Source organism: Homo sapiens, chromosome 4, assembly GCF_000001405.40.
Source record: "Homo sapiens chromosome 4, GRCh38.p14 Primary Assembly".
Classification (NCBI taxonomy): Eukaryota; Metazoa; Chordata; class Mammalia; order Primates; family Hominidae; genus Homo; species Homo sapiens.
This window is the reverse complement of record NC_000004.12, coordinates 149,021,097-149,048,163: the sequence shown is the minus strand read 5'-3', so window position 1 is coordinate 149,048,163 and position 27,067 is coordinate 149,021,097. Positions and strand designations below refer to the sequence as shown.

Below are 27,067 nucleotides of genomic sequence, written 5' to 3'. Positions count from 1 at the left end.
GAAAAGAGAACAATAGAGGGCCATTCTGGAAACTCGAAGTAAATACAGGAAGGCAGAATTAATTAAGGATTAGAGGGAAATGGGTTTCACATAGATGCTATAGCTCCATTACAGAACACCTGGTTAATTATGGAAATTTTTATGCTCATAGGTTTTAAATAACCTTTTGGAAGTTTTCAAAAGAAGAATATCCTGATGAAAGGATTGATTTGGGCAAATTAGCCATGAAATGAATATTATGCAGGATGGCCTTGGGAAGGTCTGGATGTTGGGAGACCAAGGGAAGGAGAAGTGAAGTAGAAGGAGAATATTCAACAGGCATTTTTAGAAAAGAAATGACCCTATGATTAAGATCTGGTTTAAATAGAATAAAGATGCTCAGAAGAAAGAATGGGCATGAGTACCAAGAATTCCAAGATAGGAAGAATAGCCTTCCCACATCGGGGGTACGATATTTTAGTTAATAGCATGAGGGGTTGAGTAATCATAGATACATGGAGAACCAAACTGATGGGTTTAGTGAGAAAACATGACAATTGGCATATTCAGAGAGGGACATTCCAAGGGAAGTGTTCATCTGAGGAATGGTCCTATGTAATAGTCTGGAAAGGAACCACACAAGAATGAAGTGATCAGCATAAAGCAGACAGGGATTTGCAGTCACTGTGAGATGCAGGAATCTAATGTGAAGTCATTTGGGGGTGTATTAGTCAGGGTTCCCTAGAAGGACAGAACTAATAGGATATATATATATATGTGTGTGTATGTGTATATATATACACACATATATATACATATATGTGTACATATATGTATATATATACACACACATATATATGCACATATATATACACACACATATATACACATAGATATGCATATATATACACATATATATACAGAACTAATAGGATATATATATCATATATAAGGATATATATAGGATATATATAGGATATATATATCCTATATATAAGGATATATATAGGATATATATATCATATATAAGGATATATATAGGATATATATATCATATATAAGGATATATATAGGATATATATATCATATATAAGGATATATATAGGATATATATATCATATATAAGGATATATATAGGATATATATATCATATATAAGGATATATATAGGATATATATATCATATATAAGGATATATATAGGATATATATATCATATATAAGGATATATATAGGATATATATATCATATATAAGGATATATATAGGATATATATATCATATATAAGGATATATATAGGATATATATATCATATATAAGGATATATATAGGATATATATATCATATATAGGATACATATAAACTAATATATAAACTATATATTATAAACTAATACATCTATATTATAAACTAATATATACTAATATATAAACTAATATGATATATAAACTAATAAGATATAAACTAATATATATATGATATATATATAAACTAATAGGATATATATATATGAGCTAATAGGATATATACATATTATATATATAATATATATAAAGTAGAGTTATTAAGTATTAGCTTACATGATCTCAAAGTCCAACAATAGGCCTCCTGCAAGCTTGGAGGAGCAAGGAGAGCCAGTTCAAGTCTCAAAACTGAAGAACCTGGAATCTGATATTTGAGGGCAGGAAGCATCCAGCATGGGAGAAAGATGTAGGCTGGGAGGCTAGGCTAGCCTCACCTTTTCACGTTTTTCTGCCTCCTTTATATTCGCTGGTAGCTGATTAGATTGTGCCCACCAGATTAAGGGTGGGTCTGCCTTCCCCAGCCCACTGGCTCAAATGTTAATCTCCTTTGGCAATACCCTTGCAGACACACCCAGGATCAATGCTTTGCATCCTTCAATCCAATCAAGTTGATGCTCAGTATTAACCATCACAAGTCTACCCCTTGTCAACTTGAACCCATATACATCTGAGATCATACATAGTCTTCAAATAAAGACAATCATAAGGTCATAATTTAGCTAATGTAATACAAATATCCTTTGTACAACCAGAAATGAACCAACCCCCAACCCAAATACTATTACATAAAGTTAACAATACTTAAATGCGGATATGAAGTCAATAAATCTTATGTCACATGGTAAAGGAAAAATAAATAAAATGAAGATACTTTCTTAGTACAAGCACATACATGCACAAACATGTTTTTAACAAAAGAAGGAGGAAATACTCATGACTGTTACAGTCCTCATTTCTGCAGCTGGTCATGTGGTCGTCACTGGTTTTGATGACTACCTTATTCTACTACCCATTCTGTATTCCCAGCAAGCACCTCAACAGGTCGTGGTGTTTTTCCTGGTGGAGTGACCCAAACCTTCATTCCTGAGGGGTCTGGATCATTTGTAGTCCTGCCTGGATTGGGCTGTTTTAGTTTCCTATTGACCTTAATCACAAGGTATGGTAATACTAAGAGACACCCTAATGGATCTCCTGTATTCCATGCATACTCTTCCTTACCTCCATTATGGAGTAGTAGACTGATTTCATCTTGATAGTCCAGGTCAATCACCCCAGCCAACACTGTAACTCCCTTCTTAGCCTGTTGACTTAAAGGTAGGAGGAGCCCAAAGTGTCCAGGTGGCAATCTTAATTTCCAGTGTCTCCTGGTGGCAGTGTTCCTCCCTCTGGAACTAAGACCGCTAGGCCAGCAGAACAGGAAGTAAAAATTTTGCTAGTGGATCACTAAGGGTGATGGTGAATGGTACCACTTCCACTTCCACCCCTTGATTCCTGGACCAGTGAATCCTGGCTATGGGAGAAACAGTATCATATGTTGGATGCTGATTCAGAGCATACATGGCCTTCTGGAGAGCTTTTCCCCAGCCCTGCAAAGTATTGTTACCTAGTTGGCATCATAATGTGACTTCAAAAGGCCATTCCACCATTCTATCAATCCAGCTGCTTCAGGATGGTGGGGGACATGGTAAGACCGTGAATTTCATGAGCACGAGCCCATTGCCACACTTCTTTAGCTGTGAGGTGAGTGCCTTGATCAGAAGCAATGCTGTGTGGAATACCATGATGTTGGATAGGCATGCCGTGAGTCCATGGATGGTACTCTTAGCAGAGGCATTGCGTGCAGGATAGGCAAACACATATCTTGAGTAAGTGTATATTCCAGTGATGACAATCCTCTGCCCTTTCCATGATGGAAGAGGTCCAATATAATCAACCTGCCACCAGGTAGCTGGCTGATCACCCTGAGGAATGGTGCCATATCGAGGACTCAGTTAGTCTCTGCTGCTGGCAAATTGGGCACTCAGCAGTGGCCAAAGCCAGGTCAGCCTTAGTGAGTGGAAGTCCATGTTGCTAACCCCTTGCATAACCTCCATCCCTGCCACCAGAGCCACTTTGTTCATGGGCCTATTGGGCGATGACAGGGGTGTCTATGGAAAAAGGCTGAGTGGTGTCCACAGAACAAGTCATCCTATCTACTTGATTATTAAAATCCTCCTCTGCTGAGGTCACCCACTGGCGAGCACTCACATGGGATACAAATATCTTCACAGTTTTTGACCACTCAGAGAGGTCCATCCACATACCCCTTCCTCAAATTTCTTTGTCACCAATTTTCCAATCATGCTTCTTCGAAGTTCCTGACCATCCAGCCAAACCATTGGCTACAGCCCGTGAATCAGTGTATAATTGCACATCTGGCCATTTCTCCTTCCATGCACAGTGCACAACCAGGTGCACTGCTCAAAGTTCTGCCCATTGGGAAGATTTCCCTTCACTGATGTCCTTCAGGGATGTCCTAGAAAGGAGCTATAGTGCGCAGCTGTCCACTTTTGGTTGGTGCCTGCATATTGTGCAGAACCACCTGTGAACCAGGCCCTAGTCTCCTCTTCCTCTGGCAGCTGATCATAGGGAATCCCCCATTAGCCATCAGTGCAGGCTGGTAAAGAGAAGGCAGGGTGGCAGGAGTGGAGAGCATGGGCATTTGAGCCACGTCCTCATGTAACTTGTGCCTTCATGACCTGCTCAAGCCCGATCACGTATATACCACTTTCATTTGATGATGGAATACTGCTGTGCATGACCCACTTCATGGTTAGGTGAATCAGAAAGCACCCAGTTCATAAGAGGCAGTTCAGGTCGCATAGTGACTTGATGACCCATACTCAAACATTCAATTTCCACCAAAGCCCAGTAACAGGCCAAGAGCTGTCTCTCAACAGGAGAGTAGTTATCTGCAGAATATGGCCAGGCCTTGCTCCAAAGTCCTAGAGGTCTCCGCTGTGATTCACCTATGCGGGCCTGCCAAAGGCTCCAAACAGCATCCCTATCTGCCACTGACACCTCAAGCACCATTGGATCTGCTAGGTCATATGGCCCAAGTGGCAGAGCAGCTAGCACAGCTACTGGACCTATTGCAGGGCCTTCTCCTGTTTGTGGCCCCACTCAAAACTGGCAGCCGTTTGGGTCACTCGATAAATGGGCCAGAGTAACATACTCAAATGAGGATTGTGTTGCCTCCAAAATTCAAATAGGCCCGCTAGGCTTTGTGTCTCTTTCTTGGCTGTAGGAGGACCCAAATGCAGCAACTTATCCTTCACCTTAGGAGGAATAACTCAACAAGACCCACACCACTGAACCCCTAGAAATTTTACCGAGGTAAAAGGTCCCTGCATTTTAGTTGGATTTATTTCGCATCCTCTGGCATGCAAATGTCTCACCAATAAGTCCAGGGTGTTTGCTACTTCTTGTTCACTGGATCCAATCAGCATAATGTCATCAATGTAATCAACCAGTGAGATACCTTGTGGAAGGAAAAAGCGATCATGGTCTCTCAGAATAAGATTGTGACACAAAGCCAGAGAGCTGACATACCCCTGAGGTAGGACAGTAAAGGTATATTGCTGGCCTTGCCGGCTGAAGGCAAATTGCTTCTGGTGGGCATTATGGATAGGAATGGAGAAAATGGCATTTGCCCAGTCAAAGGCTGCATACCAGTTACCAGGAGATGTGTTAATTTGTTCAGGCAATGAAACCACCTCTGATACAGCATCTGCAATTGGAGTCACACTTGGTTAAGCTTATGATAATCCACTGTCATTCTCCAAGATCCATCTGTCTTCTGCACAAGCCGAATGGGAGAGTTGAACAGGGATATGGTGGAAATCATCACCCCTGCGTCTTTCAAGTCCTTGATGGTGGTACTAATCTCTGCAGTTCCCCCAGGGATGCGATATTGTTTTTGATTTACTATTTTTCTAGGTAGAGACAGCTCTAATGGCTTCCATTTGGCCTTTCCCACCATGACAGCCCTCACCCTACCAGTCAGGGAGCCAATGTGGGGGTTCTGGCCAGCTGCTAAGAATGTCTATGCTAATTATGCATTCTGGCACTGGGGAAATGACCACAGGATGAGTCCAGGGACCAAATGGATCCAGTGGAAGTTGGACCTGAGCTAAAACTCCATCAATTACCTGACCTCCATAAGCCCCTACTTTAACTGGAGGACCACGATGACAGTGTGGGGTCCCTGGAATCAACATCAGCTCAGAGCTAGTGTCCAGTAGTCCCTTAAATGTCTGATTGTTTCCCTTTCCCCAGTGCACAGTTACCCTGGTAAAAGCCCAGAGGTCTCCTTGGGGAAGAATGGGAGAAAGATTCACTGCATAAACTGACAGTGATGTAGTGGAGTCCTTCCTCAAGAGGACCCAGCCTCCCCTTCATTCAAGGGGTTCTGGGTTTATAAACTGGTTCAAGTCTCGAAATTGATTGAGCGGCCATGATTCTCTGTTTTTTGTTTTGTTTTGTTTTATTATACTTTAAGTTTTAGGATACATGTGCACAACATGCAGGTTTGTTACATGTGTGTACGTGTGCCATGTTGGTGTGCTGCAGCCATTAACTCGTCATTTAGCATTAGATATATCTCCTAATGCTATCCCTCCCCCTTCCCCCCACCCCACAACAGTCCCCAGTGTGTGATGTTCCCCTTCCTGTGTCCATGTGTTCTCATTCTTCAATTCCCACCTATGAGTGAGAACATGTGGTGTTTGGTTTTTTGTCCTTGAGATAGTTTGCTGAGAATGATGGTTTCCAGCTTCATCCATGTCCCTACAAAGGACATGAACTCATCATTTTTTATGGCTGCATAGTATTCCATGGTGTATATGTGCCACATTTTCTTAATCCAGTCTATCATTGTTGGACATTTGGCTTGGTTCCAAGTCTTTGCTATTGTGAATAGTGCCGCAATAAACATACATGTGCATGTGTCTTTATAGCAGCAGGATTTATAATCCTTTCGGTATATACCCAGTAATGGGATTGCTGGGTCAAATGGTATTTCTAGTTCTAGATCCCTGAGGAATTGCCACACTGACTTCCACAATGGTTGAACTAGTTTACAGTACCACCAACAGTGTATAAGTGTTCCTATTTCTCTACATCCTCTCCAGCACCTGTTGTTTCCTGATGATCGCCATTCTAAATGGTGTGAGATGGTATCTCATTGTGGTTTTGATTTGCATTTCTCTGATAGCCAGTGATGATGAGCATTTTTTCATGTGTTTTTTGGCTGCATAAATGTCTTCTTTTGAGAAGTGTCTGTTCATATCCTTTGCCCACTTTTTGATGGGGTTGTTTGTTTTTTTTCTTGTAAATTTGTTTGAATTCATTGTAGATTCTGGATATTAGCCCTTTGTCAGATGAGTGGGTTGCAAAATTTTTCTCCCATTCTGTAGGTTGGCTGTTCACTCTGATGGTGGTTTCTTTTGCTGTGCAGAAGCTCTTTAGTTTAATTAGATCCCATTTGTCAATTTTGGCTTTTGTTGCCATTGCTTTTGGTGTTTAAGACATGAAGTCCTTGCCCATGTCTATGTCCTGAATGGTATTGCCTAGGTTTTCTTCTAGGGTTTTTATGGTTTTAGGTCTAACATTTAAGTCTTTAATCCATCTTGAATTGATTTTTGTATAAGGTGTAAGGAAGGGATCCAGTTTCAGCTTTCTACATATGGCTAGCCAGTTTTCCCAGCACCATTTATTAAACAGGGAATCCTTTCCCCATTTCTTGTTTTTTTCAGGTTTGTCAAAGATCAGATAGTTGTAGATATGAGGCATTATTTCTGAGGGCTCTGTTCTGTTCCATTGATCTATATCTCTGTTTTGGTACCAGTACCATGCTGTTTTGGTTACTGTAGCCTTGTAGTATAGTTTGAAGTCAGGTAGCGTGATGCCTCCAGCTTTGTTCTTTTAGATTCTCTGTTTTTATAATTCAAATTAGTCTTTTGTCCATTCAACCTAGAAGTTTTCTCCTTATATAAATTAAGTGTCAATGCAGTTGGCTTCCTATCAATTTTACTTCTAGGAACACTGTGATGAATTAGCCAGTGCCAGAGCCCTACAGAAGTCAGACTATTCTGATTGCTGCTTTGTCTCTGCTGTCCATTCCAGTAGCTATGCCCACCTTGTCTTTGACACTTGAGTGCTGCCACTTGGCCTCTGCCACCTTGGGATACAATTATTCCCATTGTACTTAAATTTTGTAGTTGACTGACTGTGGTTCCCACTGTTAGATCTGACTTACAGAGAAGAGCAATTACAGGGCTCTTCAAAGATGCAGGTGTTGCCCTCACAAATCTATTTTGTAAGGCATTGGTCAAGAGTATGTCTTCTGGACCCTCCCAGCTGAGATGAGTAGGTCTAAAGTGACTAACCCATTCCAGCATTCCAATCTCCCTAAGCCTTTTGATCCCTTCCTCTACATTAAGCTAACGGAGATTAGGCATTTCCAGCTCATTCACAGTGGGCCATCTTTTAATCCGTATTTCAGCTAACCAAGCAAACAAACTATTAGAACCTTTTTTAACTCCCCATGCTACAATATTAAATGCAGAATGAATCCTTACTTAGTGGGCCCAAAGCAATAAATTCAGCCTAATCCAACTCTGTGTTTCTTCCACCATTATCACATACCCTTAATATCCATTCCCATGCCTGTTCTCCAGATTGTTATTTATATAAATTAGAGAACTCAAGCAGTTCTTTTCAAGTGTAGTACACCTCCTCATGGGTCACAGTCTCAATCTCACCTCTAGGGGCCCACCAGGATTTTAGTCTAGTTATAGGTCTAGAAGCAAACAGAGGTGTTGCGGGTGGCTCCTGAGAAGAATCAACATTATTTTGCCAGGCAACTGCCTCAGGGGAGGCTGTCACTGTTGCCTCAGGCAGTGCAGGGTTTATCTCCTCAGATGAAGGTGGAAAGGCTGATGGCAGCATGGGTCCGGGAGGGGATGTTGCCACTACTGGGGATGGGGAAGCTGTTCCTTCTGGCAAAAAAGTTTCAACAGAGTTTACAAACTCAGTGTCCTCAACTTCATCAGGGTCCTCCCACACATCCCCATTCCAAGTTCCAGGGTCCCATTCTTTTCTAATCAATGCCCTTACTTTAACAGTAGATACCTGGCGAGGCTGTGCATGCACCTTTCATTGCAGGTCAGCCACTTGTGTCTGTTTTTTCACAATTTTAGCTCTTTCTCTACAGGAGATAAGACTCTCACTCAGGGCAATGTTAGCATATTTAAGGCTCATTATCTGCTTCTGAAGCCAGGAGACAGAATCCCTGAGTTCATAGTTTTCTTTCATCACTTTATCCACCAAACTTAGAAGCAACCAACCAGCTTCATTATGTTCCTTGGTTCTCCACATATGGTCAAAGATATTATTTACAAAGTCACTAAACTCCTTGTCTCTCATGAGCAGTGAATCAGGAGTGTCAAATGCATTTATTTTGCATAACTCTCTAAACAGTTCACAACGAGGACTATCAGTGTTCTCCATACTATTAGAAGGAGGGTCCTTAGCATCTTTGGGTCTAATCATATTAAGCAGCCAACCCCAGAAATCCCAAAACCAACAAAAGAACTCCATCCTTAATATTCTGTTCCTCTAGACCCACTACTGGTACCAAAAGCTGTACTAGCAAAAGACTGTTTGTCTTTTGTTCCCTAGAGAGACAGAACTAATAGGAGAATATATATATACACACACATATATGGGAGTTTACTAAGTATTAACTTACATGATCACAAGGTCCCACAATAGGCTGTCTGCAAGCTTGAGAAGCAAGGAGAGCCAGTCCAAGTCTCAAAACTGAATAACTTGGAGTCCAATGTTTGAGGGCAGGAAGCATAGGAGAAAGATGTAGACTGGGAGGCTAGGCCAGTCTTGCTTTTTCCTGTTTTTCTGCCTGCTTTATATTCTCTGGCAGCTGATTAGATTGTACGTACCAGATTAAGGGTGGGCCTGTCTTCCCCAGCCCACTGACTTAAATGTTAATCTCCTTTGTCAATGCTCTCACAAACACACCCAGGATCAATACTTTGCATCCTTTAATACAATCAAGTTGACACTCAGTATTAACCCTCACAGGGGGTAATTGCAGGGGAAAGACTCATAGGTACCTGAAAAAAGCAATCCAGAATGGAAGAGAGAGAAGAAATGTCTTTGGTTAAAATTCTCTTAATATTAGTATTGGATTCCTACTAAGTTGCTACCTTGGTTTTATTGGAGATAATTTAAATGTCCTTTAGACCTTGCCCATAAGGGACAGAGTTTATTTTGGTGTGAACACTGGCTGAACTGATTTTTTGCTGCAAGAACTAGTGAGTAGGGTCAACAGCTGGCAAGAAAATTCTATGGCCATATGATGGCCAATCATCCATCCACCCATTCGCCTATTTCTTTACTTATTCACTAAGCACTTCTTACATTCCAGAAATATACTAGTATAGGAAAACATGACACTGCTCTCATGGAGCTTCAAGTATATGGGATTCGTTTTTACAAAAGCTTAAGTAAAGATTGCTATGAAAATATGTAGCAGTGGACACTGTGCTAGCCCAGAGTTTCAGGGAATGGTTCTATGAGAAAATGTTATTTTTAGTAATTATTAGAAAAGAGGGTTAATATAAGAAGAGGAATATATAGCAAATCCTGAAACTACGATAAGAAATAAATTCTTGGTTTCTATGTGAGTCCAAAATCTCTGTGCTTAATCTCCATTAAATGCATATCTATGCATATAAGCTAGTTTCTGCAGGCAATTGACTTCAGGCAGGAGCACGGCAAGACATCTTGGAGAATCAATACGAAACAAGGCGACTTCCCAAAGTCAGAAATACAACCGCAGGAAAAGTTTAGATTCTAGGAAATACAACACAGCAGCACTGGGAATGAACAACATAGGGAAATGTGCTCTAAAGATTTTCAGAGAACTAGGATAAGGAATAGACCTTATGATTAGGGCATTCCACTTCTGTCTAAGTCCCATGATACTAGGTCAGTGCAGCCTTGCCTGGAGGCAGAATGATGGCTATCAAAATTTGTTCTAGACATGTGATAGAAAGAGCACTGGCAAAATGCATGAATATTATACTTACTTTATTTAAGGAATACTAGGCCTTTAATTTTTATTATTTCACTTTTATTCATTTTAATGTCACTTTTCTAATTACCAAAATAATATCGAAAAAAAATCACCAGCTTTTGCTAGAGTCAGCTATATCTTTGTAAATACCTGATTATATTCTTCCCTCTGCTGCGTGTGTGTGTGTGTATGTGTGTGTGTGTGTGTATGTGTGTGTGACAGAGAGAGAGAGAGAGAGAAAGACAGAGAATAGCACATTTCATATTTGAGATGTTGCTATATATACTGATTTACACTTCTTGAGTATATTTTGGTAATCATAATTGGGGAAGAGAAAAATATAGTATCTTAGCAGCTGTCATTTGAGTTCCTTTTAAAGAGAATCTACTGTCTATTGGAAAATTACCTTGATGAGCCACTGGTATAGAAGATGAGATCTGGAAGATATGGGTGTTAGCAGAAGCCAAGATTTTTAGATATATGCATAATAAAATGAAAGTATTATTGTCCTATGCAGTGCAGAAAGAAAAAAGCCAGAGCATAGAGAAGGAAGAGGTAAGAGAGAGAAGTTAAAGAGATGTTGGGACAAGGATATGAAAAAATGCTCAATATCACTGATCATTACAGAAATGCAAATCAAAACCACAATGAGATACCATCTCACACCAGTCAGAATGGCTATTATTAAAAGTCAAAAAATAACAAATGTTGGCCAGGTTGCAGAGAAAAGAGAACAATTATACACTGTTGGTGCGAGTATAAGTTAGTTCAACCATTATGGAAAGCAGTATGGTGATTCCTCCAAGAACTAAAAACAGAATTCCCATTTGCCCCATCAATCCCATTACTGGGTATATACCCAGAGGAATATAAATCATTGTACCATAAAGACACATGGATAGGAATTCACAATAGCAAAGACATGATGTATTAGTCCATTCTCATGCTGCTAATAGTGACATACCAAGACTGGGTAATTTATAAAGGAAAGAGGTTTAATTGACTCACAGTTCCGCAAGGCTGGGGAGGCCTCAGGAAACTTACAATCATGGTGGAAGGGGAAGCAAACATGTTCTTTGCATGACAGCAACAAGGAGAAGTGCAGGGGAACTGCCCTTTATAAAACCATCAGATCTCATGAGACTTACTCACTATCACGAGAACAGCATGGAAACACCCACCCCTATGATTCAAGGAACTCCCACCAGGTCACTTCCATGACAAGTGGGAATTATGAGAGCTACAATTCAGGATGAGATTTGGGTGGGAACATAGTCAAACCATATCACATGAAATCAGCCTAAATGCCCATCAGTGACAGGTTGGATATAGAAAGTGTGGTACATATACACCATGGAATACTATACAACCATAAAACAATTAGATCATGTCTTTTGAGGGAACATGGATGGAGCTGGAGGCCATTATCCTTAGCAAACTAATACAGGAACAGAAAACCAAATAGCACATGTTCTCACTTATAAGTGGGAGCTAAATGATAATAACTTAAGAACATAAAGAAGAAAATAACAGACACTGGGGTCTACTTGAGGGTGGAGGATGGGAGGAGAGAGAGGAGCAGAAAAGATAACTATTGAGTACTGGGCTTAATACATGGCTGATGAAATAATATATACAACAAACCCCTGTGACACAAGTTTACGTATGTAACAAACCTTCACATGCACCCCGAACCAAAAATAAGTGGTTTTTTTTAACATTGAGTGTATTAGCTCTTTTTCATGCTGCTATGAAGAAATACCAGAGACTGAATAACTTATAAAGAAAAGAGGTTTAATTGACTCACAGTTCCTCGTGGCTGGAGAGGCATCAGGAAACTTACAATCATGGTGGAAGGCACCTCTTCACAGGGTGGCAGGGGAGATAATAAGTTTGAGCATGGGAAATGCCAGATGCTTATAAAACCATTAGATCTCGTGAGACTCACTCATTAATACGAGAACAGCATGGGGGAATCTGCCCGCATGATTCAATTACCTCCACCTGGTCCCTCTCACAGCCTGTGGAGATTATGGGGATTACAATTCAAGATGAGATTTGGGTGGCAACACAGCCAAACCGTATCATTGAGAAACTAAAGCTATGTTAAGAAAACAGCTAAGGAAAGTTCCCCAGTGATGTGGTTGTCAAGTGGCATTTATGCCTATTATTTTGTTTAAGGATATTCAACTTGATCATCCAATTTCAGCAAAATCTTCTATACTTCAGAATACCCTGCAAATGTGATTTCAATTTTTTGGTAGAAACTGAAGGGGGGATAAATTTTACATCTGAGTCAACATGGTAAAGAAGAGAGTCAGCAGGGGACCCAAGGACAGATGTGAACAGAGAAATTGAGTTACCCAGAAATGTTCAGAAGTATTTGAAAAGGCTTTGTGCTGTCATAGGATTTAGACAAGGGAGTTCCACCAGAGTATCTACATCTCCATAGGACAAGAGAACTCACTTGCCTTTCAGTTAGGCTTATTTTCCTAAAACATTGTCTATTTTATTGAAATATTCACACTTATTTAAATTTGTCATATTATATTCTTTTAGAATTTCAAAATATCTCATCTATTATGATATGTTTTTGTCATACATAATATCCTATATTTATATTTTCTATCATTTTTATTCATAGTTTGATGTCTTCCAAAAGACCAAAATCTTGGATTACTTGATCTATTCTCATGATTTTTGGTTTCTAATTCATTAATTTATAACTGTATTTTAATTATTTATGCATATGTTGGCCTTACAAATTTTTAAGATGTGTCAAAATATAGAGCATAAAATAATGTATACTCGTCTACCATCCTAACTTAAAAATAATGCTCTTACTTTCTCGAATTACCTTTTTATATCTTTTTGCCTATTTTCTGTTGGGTTGTTTGTCTTTTGTTACTGATTTTAAGAGTCTTCATATTTCTGGAACTTCCTTCTGTTATGTTGGTTATATTTGTTGCAAAAAAAAACTTTTCTAAGCCCGTCTTTTGTCTTTGGCTTTTTTAAAAATGGTGCTTTGTGATGTATATAAAATTTTAATATGAATGTGATCAGAGTTGTTAATTATTTCTTTATAAAATTATTTTAGGTTTGTAAAAGAAATCCTTCTTGGCCCCTATGGTCATGAAGATATTTTCCAATATTTTATTCTTCTCTTGTTTCCATTACATTTATTTGGTTGAATTTATAAGTTTTGTATTTGTGGTGAGAGTAGTTCTTACACTTTTCTTGATTGATTAAAAAATTCGATTCATAAATGTTCTGTCTACATCCCATTTGTTTATATATACAATATTGTCATTTTTCCCTAAATATTCTGTACATACAGCTTTTATTTCTTACTTGTTCCTGAAACTATTTAATCAAACTACTTTGTTTAAAATTTTGTCAGTGATTTGTTTTAATTTAATAATGCCATCAGGATCCATCTAGGTATTGATTATTATCAGTTTTTTTCTTATACAAATGGTATCATTCTATTTGTGGAATCTTTTGTCTTAGGAAATTTCCTGTAAACTTGCTTTTAGGATTGTTTGTATAGTAATGTTTACCAGTGATCTGTATGCTGGTGCTTCACTTCTGACTTTTAGATCTACCATCTTCTCTCCCATTTGGTCCTTCTGTTCCTATTCTCTGTCTCTATTTTGGGAAAGCTTTTCTTTTACTCCTTTTACAACAAAACTTTATTTTTCTGCAGTGTCATTTCTGTCTTATTCTGAACCTGGCCTTAATTTTGTGATTATACTTATGTTTTTACAATTTTTCCTTAGGCCATTCAATTTTTTTGTCATTTTTGTTGCGGTCTTACCATCCCATCCTTTTTCTTTTGTTTCATAGCATACAGATTTCCACAAATATTTTCAAGAGGACAAAGATTTCTAACATGCACTCCTTTTGAAGTTAAAAAAAAATCCTTTGTATCTTACATGGTAAGTCTGTTTTCATCTTGAAACATGTGGAGACTTTTCATAGACTTCACATGTTCTTTTCTTTATTTATAAGAAGCATAGTCCGGTATGGATTACTAAGGGTTATTCAGGGTTCCCCATGTTGACCTCCTGATTCTTTCAGAATCTTCTCATATAATGGGCTAAGAACTAGTTAACATTCTCCAGCCCTAATATTGGCAGTCTTTTATTTAGAATGGATCTGTTGGACAGGGAAGGAGGTCTCCTACACCATCTGCCACGTCATTAAATAATCAGGAGTTGTAGAGTTTATTCTTTGATAATCAAGCATAAGTATAGTGATTTAATTGCCCAAATCAGAAAATGAGAAACTAATTTCCAGAATTGATTATGCCCCTGGTTCTTCCATTCGGACTGCTTGACTTACAATCCCTTCGTGTAAAGACTCTATTATTCTGTAATTCTGCCTTTAATTGCTACGTATTTCTTCTAATAGTAAAAAAGGAGAGGTAACAATAGGTTACCTTGTAAAGTTCCTCCCAGGCAAGTAGGTGGTGAATTCTCTTCCTCAGTTTCATGTCCTTGCCTGGGAAATTGGGGTTTCCAGCAGGAGCGCTTGGCTAGAAATCAATGATCAATTTTCCTGCACTGTTCAACATATCTGTCTGAGAGATTTTATCCAAGCTTTGGATATTAAGAATTTCTAATATCCAGTATTTGAAGGGTCATATCCTTTATTTCTTATCTAAGTTGTGGTTAAGCATTTGCATTTATCTTTTTGTGTGTGTTTTAATAGCATATTGAAAGACAGAGAATTGGTCATCTTAGACTTCTGGCAAAATTAGAGTGTTTGCTATTTGGTCTCAGGTCCCCTTTACACTCTTAGCAAATATTAAGAGCCCAAAAGAATCTTTGTTTACATGGTTCATATCAATCAATACTTGCCATCTTGGAAATTAGAAATGATACATATTTAAAATGCATATTTATTAGTTCACCTAAAATAACAATAAACCCACTATATGTTAACATAAACAACACACTTTTATTTTTAAAAATCTATACTTTCCAAAATAGACAAAAGCCTAGTGAGAATAATGGTATTGTTTCACCCTTTTGCAGAACTCTTTCATGACTAATTGAATGGAAGACAGTTCGATTCTTCTACATTCAATCTGTTGTTTTTAAGTTACTTTAATTAATGTATATAAAACAAATCTGTGTTTATAAATACTTAATGCAAAAGTAAACCCCTTCCCAAGGGATCCTTGGACCACACTGAAAAAAACATTTGAAAATGTGCTTTTTCATGTTGACATACCTCTGTGCAACACAGATAATCTGATTACAGAAGAATAATTTAGAAGGATCAAGTGACTTGCCTGACCAGTAATTAGTAAAAGCAAAACTTGAACTCAGGGGATCTGAATACAAAACTTTTCTTTCCTGCATCTAAGCTTCATCTAATCAAGAAATGAATCAGGCTCCAGCCATCTTGCTATTATATATTTTATGTTTGCATGACTCCATGTAACTAGATGAAAGGAGAGTGTCTCATATTTAAATTAATCTCAGGTTTCAGAAACAAGATTCAATACTGCATGATGTTCATCTTAGACATACAAAAAGTACAAATCTTTCACTTGTTCTAAATCATCGAATTACAGCAGAAGGAAGGAGAGTCAACGTGCAAGCTCCTTGAGGAGGGAAAACCTGTTCACTCTCCATTTGGTTCACCTTGTGCCTAGTGCATAGCATATACCCTGACAGTCAGATGTTTAACAGGGAATTATCAAGAATAAAAAAATTATTATCACTGTGTCCACAATTAGGAAAGTTTTCAATTATCCTAGGAAGGAAAAAGCACAGGAATTGCCTTCAGTTAAGGAAAGGCACAGATGGTGAGATGGGATTTTGGAGCTAGATCACTCATCAGCTGGCTGGCAATGAATACCCAATAACGGGATTAGGAATAGCTATTGGTGTAAGGTAACATGGCAATTGTTAAACCTTTCACTAAAGGTGAACTGGAATGGTACAGCTGTGGAGGAAAGTGCACAGGCAGGTGCAGGTGCAATGTGTCAAGTCTTTCAGAAAAGAAATGGGGAAATGGTAATGATAAAGATAATAGAATTGAATGGCAACTGCTGGGGACAATTAATGTTCTGGTGAAAGATGACAAAGGCTAAAGGTGATTACTCATCAATTACAAGCTAAGTGTGAACACTAGAGGGCCTCCAAGGCAGCATATAAAGGCTTTCATTTTCTAGAGCAAAGATAAAGAAAGCTGAGGACCAAGCAGTTTCCAAAGTTGGTAAATTCTCAACCTAGTCAGGTCCTCTATGCTAAGGGTAGAGGCCTAATGGGAAAGAATGGGACCTAGAAACATGGGATGGGGACATTTGGGGTGATGAACTAAAATATCTCAAATCTCCTAATTCTATTAAGCCCTCTGAGCCTGCGTAAGTAGCTCACGCCTCCCTATAAAGACTCCATACTTTTCTCATCACTTGCAGACAATGCAGAGACCCCTTCACTACAAGACAAGAGGCGCCCCTCTCAGGATCTGCCACTATGTACTCCCCTTGGCTCCAGGCCAACACATAGCGTTAAGGTGCAGCATAAGACAACTAGAGAAGTGTTGGGCTTGCCAAGGAAGGAAAGTGAATATGCACACATGGAGTCAATTTGCACCAGAAGGAAACTGGGGAGTACTACATGCCTGGATTCTAAAGGTATTTGATTAAGGAGAGGTGGGATAGAATATAAAAAAGGACAAGAGAGCATTTACTATTAAAGCCCTCTCCAAGGATATAGGATGTGATACCCTGGCAAGAATCTTGGACAAAGTATAAATGTTCTGCTGGGATAGCTTGTGAAACTTGGAGAAAGCAGTGACCTAAATGAAATGAACTTGAAATGCCAGAAATATCATGGCAGGCAGTAAAAGTAGGGAGCAAAAGGGTTAGGAAAGTTGGCATGCAAGAACATATATACTGTGTAAGTCTAGGAAATACACCAGATGAATACATCCTATGGGAAGGCCTGGAGGGCATGGCAATTACCAAAGTGAGTGAGATGGGTACCCACATCACTGAGAAGTTCAGAAGAGGCATTCTCCTGTAAATTAAGGCTGATAGTAGGAGATGCTGTTGTGGAACTGGACTCAATAATGGCTATGTGGATGATAGGCTTCCTCCTTCCATCTATCCAAAGTGGCCACCATTTAACCATAGGAGGCAAGACGGGCCCAATTATCAAATGAAGTGGCAAAGGCAGAGTAGCATTCAGGGACTTGATCCATGGAAAGCTATAAAGATGATTAATAGAACATGGTATTCTCAGGGGCAAAATAAATGTATAGCCTGCAGTGATGTAAAATCTACAAACAAAATAGTTCAGGAAAAGATAATCAAGAGACTGAGGGCCACTACTACAATAAAAAGTCACAAGCCCTGTCCATTTTCCACATTTACCCCAGTTTTGCAACACAGAACCCACTGACTTAAAGAGAGGTGAGTTTTCCAGAGGGAACAGACCTGCAATACTATGGCAAATGCCTATGGTAAAAATTACCCTGATTCATTTCTTGATTAGATGCAGCTTAGATGTCCTTTACTTAGGTAATTATAAACTGTGGAAAGAGAATTTTGAGAACAATTGAATACATTAGGCACTGATACTTGATCATCCGAACATCGGGGCCTCCCTGTTAGAGTAAGGGCACTCAGAGTGGGTAGAACTCAGGTAATAAATTATAATCCTGGCTGAGATCCAGCTTACAAAAATCCAATAGGTTCACAGACCCACCATCAACCATTTCATTAGTAAAATATGATTGATTGGATATAAGTGGTAGTTTGCCCACCCTACTCCCAACCTTGGTTGATTGGACTGTGGGGTAAGAGATATCATTCTATAGAAAATCAAGTGGAAACCAAGAAGACTCAGTCAAAATAGTCAAAAACAAGACCACATTCCTGGTGAATGGGCAGAGATTAGCGTCATTCTTAACCACCTAAAAGATGCAGAAGATATAGCCCTTAATATATCTCCAACAAATTTATCAGTCTGCTCCCTACAAAAGTGAAATGTTTCCTAGAAGAGGATACTAGACCACTACAACCTCACCCAAACATTGGCCCCAAGATTCTGTGCTAGATGCACTATCCCTGCTAGGGCAGATTAGCATGGCTTTGCTCATGCAGGTAACTTCAAATCTTATAAATTTATCACTCTCCATTTTTATCAGAAAGGGTGTAAGGAACATGGTTGTGCTGCAGCCAAGCAGGCATAGGGCAGCAGGCATAGGCTGAGGTAAACAGCCTGGATGACTCAGCAGGTTTGTGACACAGGCGCACAGTCCCATGTCTTATATAATCATAGCCATGTAGACATAACATAGAGAAGTTCCCCACCTGGCTCTCAGCCACTATTGTTTGTATAGTGTAGAAATGTAACACTGATCCTGTGAAAAGGCTGCTGAATAAAGCCATGTCTCATCTACCTGCTGTCTCTCGAATGTTCTTCCAGCTCCCTGTCCCACGACCAGCCACTCCCCTCAGCCCTCAGCTGGGGACGGAACCTGACCCTGAGCATGACAAAGGGGAATCAGAATCAATTCATGTTCACTCAGAAGGATCAAGAGTGAATAGTCTTGCCCAAGACTATGATATCTATCTTGACTTCTGTCATGTTATCAGACAGATCACTTTGATCAACTACATTGATGATTTTATACTAATTAAACCAGATACACAAGAAGTTTGCAAGTGCTTTGGAGGCTTTAATAATACATAGAAACTACAGAAAGAGGAGCCCCTTCTTAGGAAGAGTTAGGGGTCTGACGCAGCAGTAAACTTTTTAAAAGTCCAGTGGTCTGGGGCATGCCAGGATATGCCTTCTAAAGTAAAAGACAAATTCAAATTATTGCATCTCATGTGCCCTACCACAGAGAAGAATGCACAACAGCTGGTGGATGTCTTCAGGTGTTAAGAGGGAGCATGTTCCACACCTGGGCATAGTTCTCCAGCCTAGATATCAGATGTAAGGAAAGTCTGACAGCTTTGAATAGGACACAGCTGGAAAGGGTTCTGCAGCAGGTCCAAGCTGAATTTATGACCTTATTTCCCAGCAGATACGATCAAATAGGAGACACATGGTGTGAGAAAAGATGCATGAGATGGAAGTGTGAGAGACCCCACTTAACATCCCTCCAAGTGACCCACTACGTGGATCTGAGCTGCCCCTCCCCCAACTCTAGATACTGTGGGGATAGAGGTCCTGGTTCTCAAAGAACACATCCACCTAGGGACACAGCAGAAGTCCCGTTGAACCTTAAGTTACAGCCATTGCCCACACACTTACGGCCCTCCATGCCAACAGACCACAGCCAAGAAGACAAGTCACCATTTCTGGAAAGAGTAATTGGCCCTAACCATCAGGAGAAAGTAGAAATCCTGTTACACAGTGGGGGCATAGTGGAATAGGGTTGGCACCCAGGTGATTCCTTTTGATGTGTCTACTTATGCTCACTCAGTTTTTGTGATTCATGAACAAATGATATGCCATGGCCTGAGAAGGGCATGATGGTTATGGGCTCAGATTCCTAAGACCCCGAAGGTCTGTTTCAGAGCCACCCGAGAATGGAAGATGTGCTAGCTGAGAATGAGCAGCATGCAGAATGGATAGTAGAGGGAAAAGCTGATGAGTGACAGTTGTGGCTACAAGTTCAGCTCAGGTGTTGAGAAGCTGTTTGTCCCACTCGCCTTCATCTAAGGTTCTCCCAGGACAAGAGGTCCACCAGAATTTGCTGCTCTCAGAGTCTACACAAAGAATTGGATCGGGACATCATAAGGGGTGGTCCGTAGTGGGCGCTCTGATGCACCACTTTGATCTCCCTTTAGTACTAAGGGACATAATCCTTATGCTTCTGGGAGTGCTGTGGGATGACAGATCCCAGCTGCCAGCCTCACAGGAATTACACTCACCTGGGGAGCTACCTTGCCAAGGCCACACTCCTCCCTGGGAGAAGCCTGTAGCCAATGAATGGTATGAATGGCCGACACTGTGGTATAAAGCTCAGCTGACTCTCTTAAACCGGGAATAACATTGAAGGGCCATCCCAGCTGTAGAGCCCTATATGGGTTTAACGAAGAGCTTTGCTGAAATGTCAACATAGCCCAGCTCCTCCCTCTGCCCCATCTTGTCTTCTTTTCTTCTGCCACAGCGCTTGATCCTACACGTAGTTCCTAATTTCTGCACATTAATCTCTATTTCAGAGTCTACTTCCCTGGAAAGATGACCTGCTGACCTGCATGACCTACAACATGCACCTAGCAATCATTTATGTATTTGATATATTTTTTAATTTGAGCAACTATTATGTGCCTGGCATTCTGTATGGTAAGGGCAATGATTCAGAATGCAAGCATGAAACATGAACTTATAAACAATTTACAACCAAGTTAGAGAAGTGCTGTATATACACAGAGAATAAGGCAATGCCACATAAAATAATATCAAACACTGGAATGACAGGAAGATAATTGTGACCAGGAGCTCAGCCCTCTCAGACATGAGGGTCTGGGTCACATCACCAAAGGAGCTGCTTGGTAAGGATGAGAAGAGAGTTTGATTGTACACAATGAGTTCCTAATTGCATAGCAAAGCAGCAAGCAAAAAATGATTCTTTTTCTGGGAAGATATGGACTGTTATGCAGTTACCTTAGCAGAGCCTGCTGTTATCCCCAGCTATTTGTGACTGTGTGGGTGAGTCTGTCCATTTTATAGGTAAAATATTAGCAAGTTCATCTTGACACTTATCCTCCCACACACTTTTTAAAAACTCCACCTTATCCAGCCTGCCTTCATCAGTTAAAAAAAGAAAAAGCTGACATTTTAACTCTCCATTTACTTACTCTCTAATTGGTTCTAACCTCTGATTCAGTGGAGCTGGTGATGGCAATTATTAACTCCCTATGATCCCAGCTGACTGTTAAAAAAATGTAGCCCGATTTCTGAGAATCTGGTCATCATTAGGGGAGAAACCGATGTTCAATTATGTATGGGTAAGCAGCCCTCTTCATTGAAGGTGGGTCTCTTTTGAAAAGAGAATTTATTCCACCTATGAACCTTTTAGAATCTTCAAATTTGAAGGTTATGCCCAAGATAGCAGGATTATTTTAAGAATAAGTATTTGGATACAGCTAAAATCTTGAAAGCCTATCCTTAAATATTGTAAGGAAAGAAATTTCTGGTTTTTCCCCCATTCTCTGTTTTTTATTACAGAGATTATTTTCTCTCTCTTTATCTTTTTTACACACACAAACTCATACTCAAGATAGAACTGAAACTAGTGTGTGTAAATATAGAATATCTACTAGCACATTCGTTAATTAAAACCTCGTTTGTTTATTTTTTGCTCCATTTAAACTATAAGGAAGATACTACAGTATCCTGAGAATGATGATTCTATTAAAACACTAAAGAAAGATCCTTAAGCGAAACTGTAAGCATTTGAAACAAAAACAAAAATTATCTCCTGCTGAGGTCATAAGGAACACATAAACTTAGGAGACCTTGCTTAAAGCAACAATTATTATAAATTAAAAATGACTCTTAATAATGGTTGTATACACTGTAATTTTTCCTAAAAAGAGATCATTATGTCCTCAGTTACTATATCACTTAGAACTCAGAAAGCAGAACCATTATGAGTGATATGGAAGTACAGGTTTGTTATAGGAGCTAGATGACGCATAATTTTTGAGACTGAAAAAGTCTATGGAAAGCTGTTGCTGCTACATCGGTTTATGGTTTTGATGCTGTTGTAGGTCATCAGGGCTGCCAGTCAAGAAAAAATGCTGGACATGAACTAGCATATATCAAGGACCAACTGGAATCTGCAAGGAAAAAGTGGAACCCATGCCTGTCTCACCACCTCAAACCTTGATGACATGGATGGGTGACACACAGAAAAAGCTGGTGCCCTTTCCCACAGACCTGCAAATGTGCCTAGTACAGGACATGGAAGGGCTGAAGGATGAGATCCAATGGGAGTTGAGACAGCTACAAACCCAGTTACTGGCTACAAGCTCAGTTGCTAGCTCACCTTGGCACAGGACTGGCTGAGCAGCTCCATGACGATGTGCATGAACTTCAGGGATGCCTGGAACCCTACATCATCCTTCAAGGTGTAATGGCTGCTGCTTTACTTTTACCTTGCAAAACTTGTGCAAATTTCTCTTGTGGCCAATTTTAATCAGGAGCCATAGAAGGAAGGGCATTCTCAGAAATGTATTTCTAGCTCAGTTAATTTGACACTGAGCAAAAGAAGAAAATATGACAGCCCACTCCTTGTCAACTTGGTACCCTTACAAACTTCTTTTAAGCATATTTAACTTCCAGGTAAACATGTTAGAACATGATGCAACTACAATTTGTACAACCAAAAAGACACTTTCTCTATGAAACAGCCTTATAGTCACACTCTCCCGCTGATATTCTGTAACTTAAATATTGAACTATGACATTAACCACTATTAACATGCCTTATATTGGATTATAGAAAAATAGAAGAGGGGTACTAAGTAATTTTTACACATACACACATATACAGTCATGCACCTTGTAACGATGTTTCAGTCTACGATGATGGTCCCATGAGAATATAATGAAGCCAAAAAATTCCTATTGCCAGTGATTTCTTGATGATCCTGATTTTGTGCAGGCCTAAACTAATGTGTGTATTTGTGTCTTCATTTTTAACGAAACATTTAAAAAGTAAAATAAAAATTAAAAAGAGATAAAAGCTTTTAAATGCAAATTAAAAAGAAGATATTCTTGTACAGCTATCCAATGTGTTTAAGGTAATTGTTATTACAAAAGAGTAAAAAAGTTAAAAATTTAAAAGCTCATAAACTAAAAATAAGCTACAGTAAGCTAATTTCTTATTGAAGAAAGATTTTTTTGAAGTAAATCTATTGTAGCCTAAGTGTACCATGTTTATAGAGTCTACAGTACTGTATAGTCATGTCCTAGGCCTTCACATTCATCCACCGCTCACTCACTGACTCACCAAGAGCAACTTCCAGTCCCGCAAGCTCCATTCATGGTGAGTGCCCTTTGCACATGTACCATTCTTCATCTTTTATACTGTAATTTTTACTGTCCCTTTTCTATGTTTAGATAAGCTTAGATGCACAAATCCTCACCATTGTGCTTCAATTGCCTACAGTACTCAGTATGGTAACATGCTGTGCAGGTTTACAGCCTAGGAGAAATGGGTTCTGCCATACAGCCTAGATGTGTAGTAGGCTATACCATCTAGGTTTGTGTAAGTACACTCCAAGATGTAAGTATGATGACAAAATTGCCTAATGATACAATTCTTAGACTATATCCCTCTCGTTAAGTGAAGCATGCCTGTAAATAAAATTAAGAAAGAAATACTCATAAATATTAAGTCCTCATTTCTGCTATTGGCCATATGGTCATAGCTTGTATTGATGACTTCCTTCTTGCACTGCCCACTTCATATTTCCCTTGCCCTCAGCAAGCACCTCACCTTGCTGTGATCCCATGCCTGGTGGAGTGATTAAAACTCCATTCCTAAAGTGTCAGCCATGAGAAGTCCTGTCTTTATTGGGCTACCATGGTTTTATATTAACTTTTGCCACAGGATAAGGGAATAAAAAGCAGTACCCAAGGTGACCAGGGTATTCCAGAAAGCACCTACTCCCGTGCCCACTCTATGCTGGAAACCCAGTTTCCCCCCTTGATAGTCAGCATCAAACACTTCAGCCAATCCAGTAGCCACTTATTTGCATGCTGATTTACTGGCATCACAGTTCTCAGGGAGCAGTCTCGACTTCCAATTTAACAGGAGTGTTACTGTGTTTCCTGGCAGAAGCATTATTCTTCTGGAAAAGTAAAATGCCCTAAAGCAGCAGAGCCCAAAGTCACCAGGACTAGAAGCAAAAATACTGTTAGTGGATCACAAAGGGTAAACTAAGAGCAGCTGATCTCATTCCCATTCCTTGATCATGTTATGGGAGAAACAGCACTATACTTTGGTTGCTGATTTGGGATATGTACTACATCCATAGGACACTACACCAGCCCTATAAGATGATGTCCCCCACTTGGGAACATAACAAAATCTTCAAAAGTCCCTTCCTTATCCACACTTCATTAGCTGTGAGATGAGTTCCTTGGTCAGAAGTAATGCTACGTGGAATATCATAACAGTGAATAAGGCATATACAGTTGGTGGTTTTAGCAGAACAAATATGTACAGTGAAAGCATATTCATATTCTAACCAAGTGTCTGTTCCAGTGAGGACAAAATGCTGCCCCTTCCACGATGGAAATAGTCCAGTGCCATCATCCTGCCAACATGTAGCTGGCTGACCCCTCCAGGGAATGGTGGTGCCAGAAAATCTTGTAGGTCCTTTGGTAAACCAGACCCAAATATTTTCTTGTTCAACGATGATCAAAGGGAACTCTCAAAGAGGCCACACCTGCAGTTGAGAAAGAGGAGGCCATGTAAAAGGTGTATGAACCATGAGCTTTTGTACAACTTGCTTACGAAACTTACCTGTGCCTTCATGACCTGTGCAGGCTGGATCTTATATTAACCATTTCCATTTGATGAGGGGATGTTGCTGTGCATACCCAACTTCATGGTTTGGTAAGACAACACCTACTTCATGTTGGGTACCTCAGGTGGCACAGAAAATTGATGACTAATGGTCTAGCATTTAATCTTTACTAGTTCCCAGTAACAGACCAGAAACTATTTCTTAAAACAAGAATTGATATCTGCAGAAGATGGTATAGCCTTATTGCAAAATGATAAGAGTCTCCACAGTTATTTACCTATAAATGCATGCTATGGGCTGTTAACATCATCCCATTGCCCATGGACACTTCAAGCACCATAAGATCTGCTAGGTCCTAGGGCCCAAGTGGTACAGCAGCTTGCACATCAGCCTGGACCTGTTGCAGAGACGTCTCTTGTGCTAGGATCTACACAGAAAGCTGGCATCCTTTCGAAGTTATTTGATAAATGAATGTAAGAAGCACACCCAAATGAGATATTTGATGTCTCCAAAATCCCCCTCTAGGTATGTCCCCTTTTTTAGTGGTAGGAAATGTAAGACACAGCAACTGTTTTTTTTAACTTTGGAAGAGATATCCCAAACTCTTCAGTCCACTGTTTCTCTAGACGTTTCTAGGGATGGCAGATCCTAATTTTTGTGGGATCTATTTCCCACTACTTGACATGCATCTGTCTTGTTTCATTATCCAGAGTAGCTTCTACTTCTGCTCATAAGTTCAATCAGCATGACATCAACAATGTGATGGCCTACCATGATGTTCTTTTGAATTGTGAGGCAATTAAGCTCCCTGTGGACCACATTATGACATAGGGCTGAAGAGTTAGTATAGCCTTGAGGTAGGACAGTGAAGATATATTGTAGCCCTTTCAACTGAAAGCAAACTGTTCCTGAGATTTTTGCTAAATGGCATAGAATAAAAAGTATTTGTCAGAACATTAGCTGTATGCATACCTGGCACCGATTTTTCTCCAGAAAGAAAATACATCTGAAATAGCAGCTGGAATTGGAGTTACTACCTTTTTAAGGTTGTAGTCACTCACTACATACTGCAATATTAGTCCTCTGCACTGGCCAAATAGGCATGTTAAGTAGAGATCCCCAACCCTGTATTTTTCAAGCCTTTGATATTGGCAATAATTTTTGCAATTTCTCCAGAAAGCCATTTGCTTTTGGTTTACCATTTGGGTAGGTAGAGTCACTTCCAGTGACTTTCGCTTGTTCTTGGTCTGTTCTATCATAATAGCCCTAACTGCATAGGTTATGGGAATCAGTGTCAAGATTCTGCCAATAGTTGAGTCTATTATTCTATCTACGTATTTATAAGTGAGGAAATCACCCCAGTGTAGGTTTGGGGGCCCCCTGGACCCACTGTAAGAGGAAAGCAGGCCTGTGAGAGGAAAGAAGTGTTCACCTAACATCCTTTGGTCTTTACTCTGAGTGGTGGATCACAGTGATATTCTTTGTCTCCAAAAATTAAGATCAGAGCCAGGGACCAACAATTCTTCTGAGAAATGGCCATGTGTCCCTTCAGGGCAAAGCTGGGGAAGAACATTTACAGTGTAAACTTTTGGCTGTAAAGCAGGATGCTTCCTCATGTATGTCCTGGCCTCCCCTTCATTCAGGGGCTCTGGGTCTATAAATCAGCTCAATTCTGGAAGTGGCTGAAAGGCATGATCATTATAATGATTAAAGTTAGACTTCCATCCATTAGAAAAAATTGTTACCGTATATATATCAAATATTTTTAAAGTCTGCCAACCTATTTCTGTTCTAGTCATACTCTATTGGCCAACTCAAAGTTCTCTGTGGGCCAAACCACTCTGTCTCCAGCCATTAAGTGCCACAACTTGGTCCCTGTCACCACAGGATCACATCATCCCCACTGAATTTCGAGTCAAATTGCAGTAGTATCCACTGATATTTCTGGACTACTAGGAATACCCAACCTGGAGCTCCCTCACAGATGTATGCTGCAAAGCCTGAGTGAGAGAATGTCCTCCAGACATAGTAGGGAGGTGAATGAGCAGGTCCTCTTCAGTATTCCAACCTTGGATGGGTACCACCATCTCCAGAGTACCAAGGAAGTTCACTCTTCTAACCAAGAT

General features: G+C 39.8%; 1 long non-coding RNA gene across 1 annotated transcript in view; it reads right to left on the bottom strand.

Moving 5' to 3' along the window:
* Positions 1 to 15,305: 15,305 nt before the first annotated feature.
* Positions 15,306 to 27,067, bottom strand: part of LOC107986195 (uncharacterized) — a 496,338-nt gene continuing 484,576 nt past the window's right edge. The window contains exon 4 of the long non-coding RNA XR_001741441.2: positions 15,306 to 24,860. This is a non-coding gene — a long non-coding RNA (uncharacterized LOC107986195). The remainder of the gene's footprint in view (positions 24,861 to 27,067) is intronic.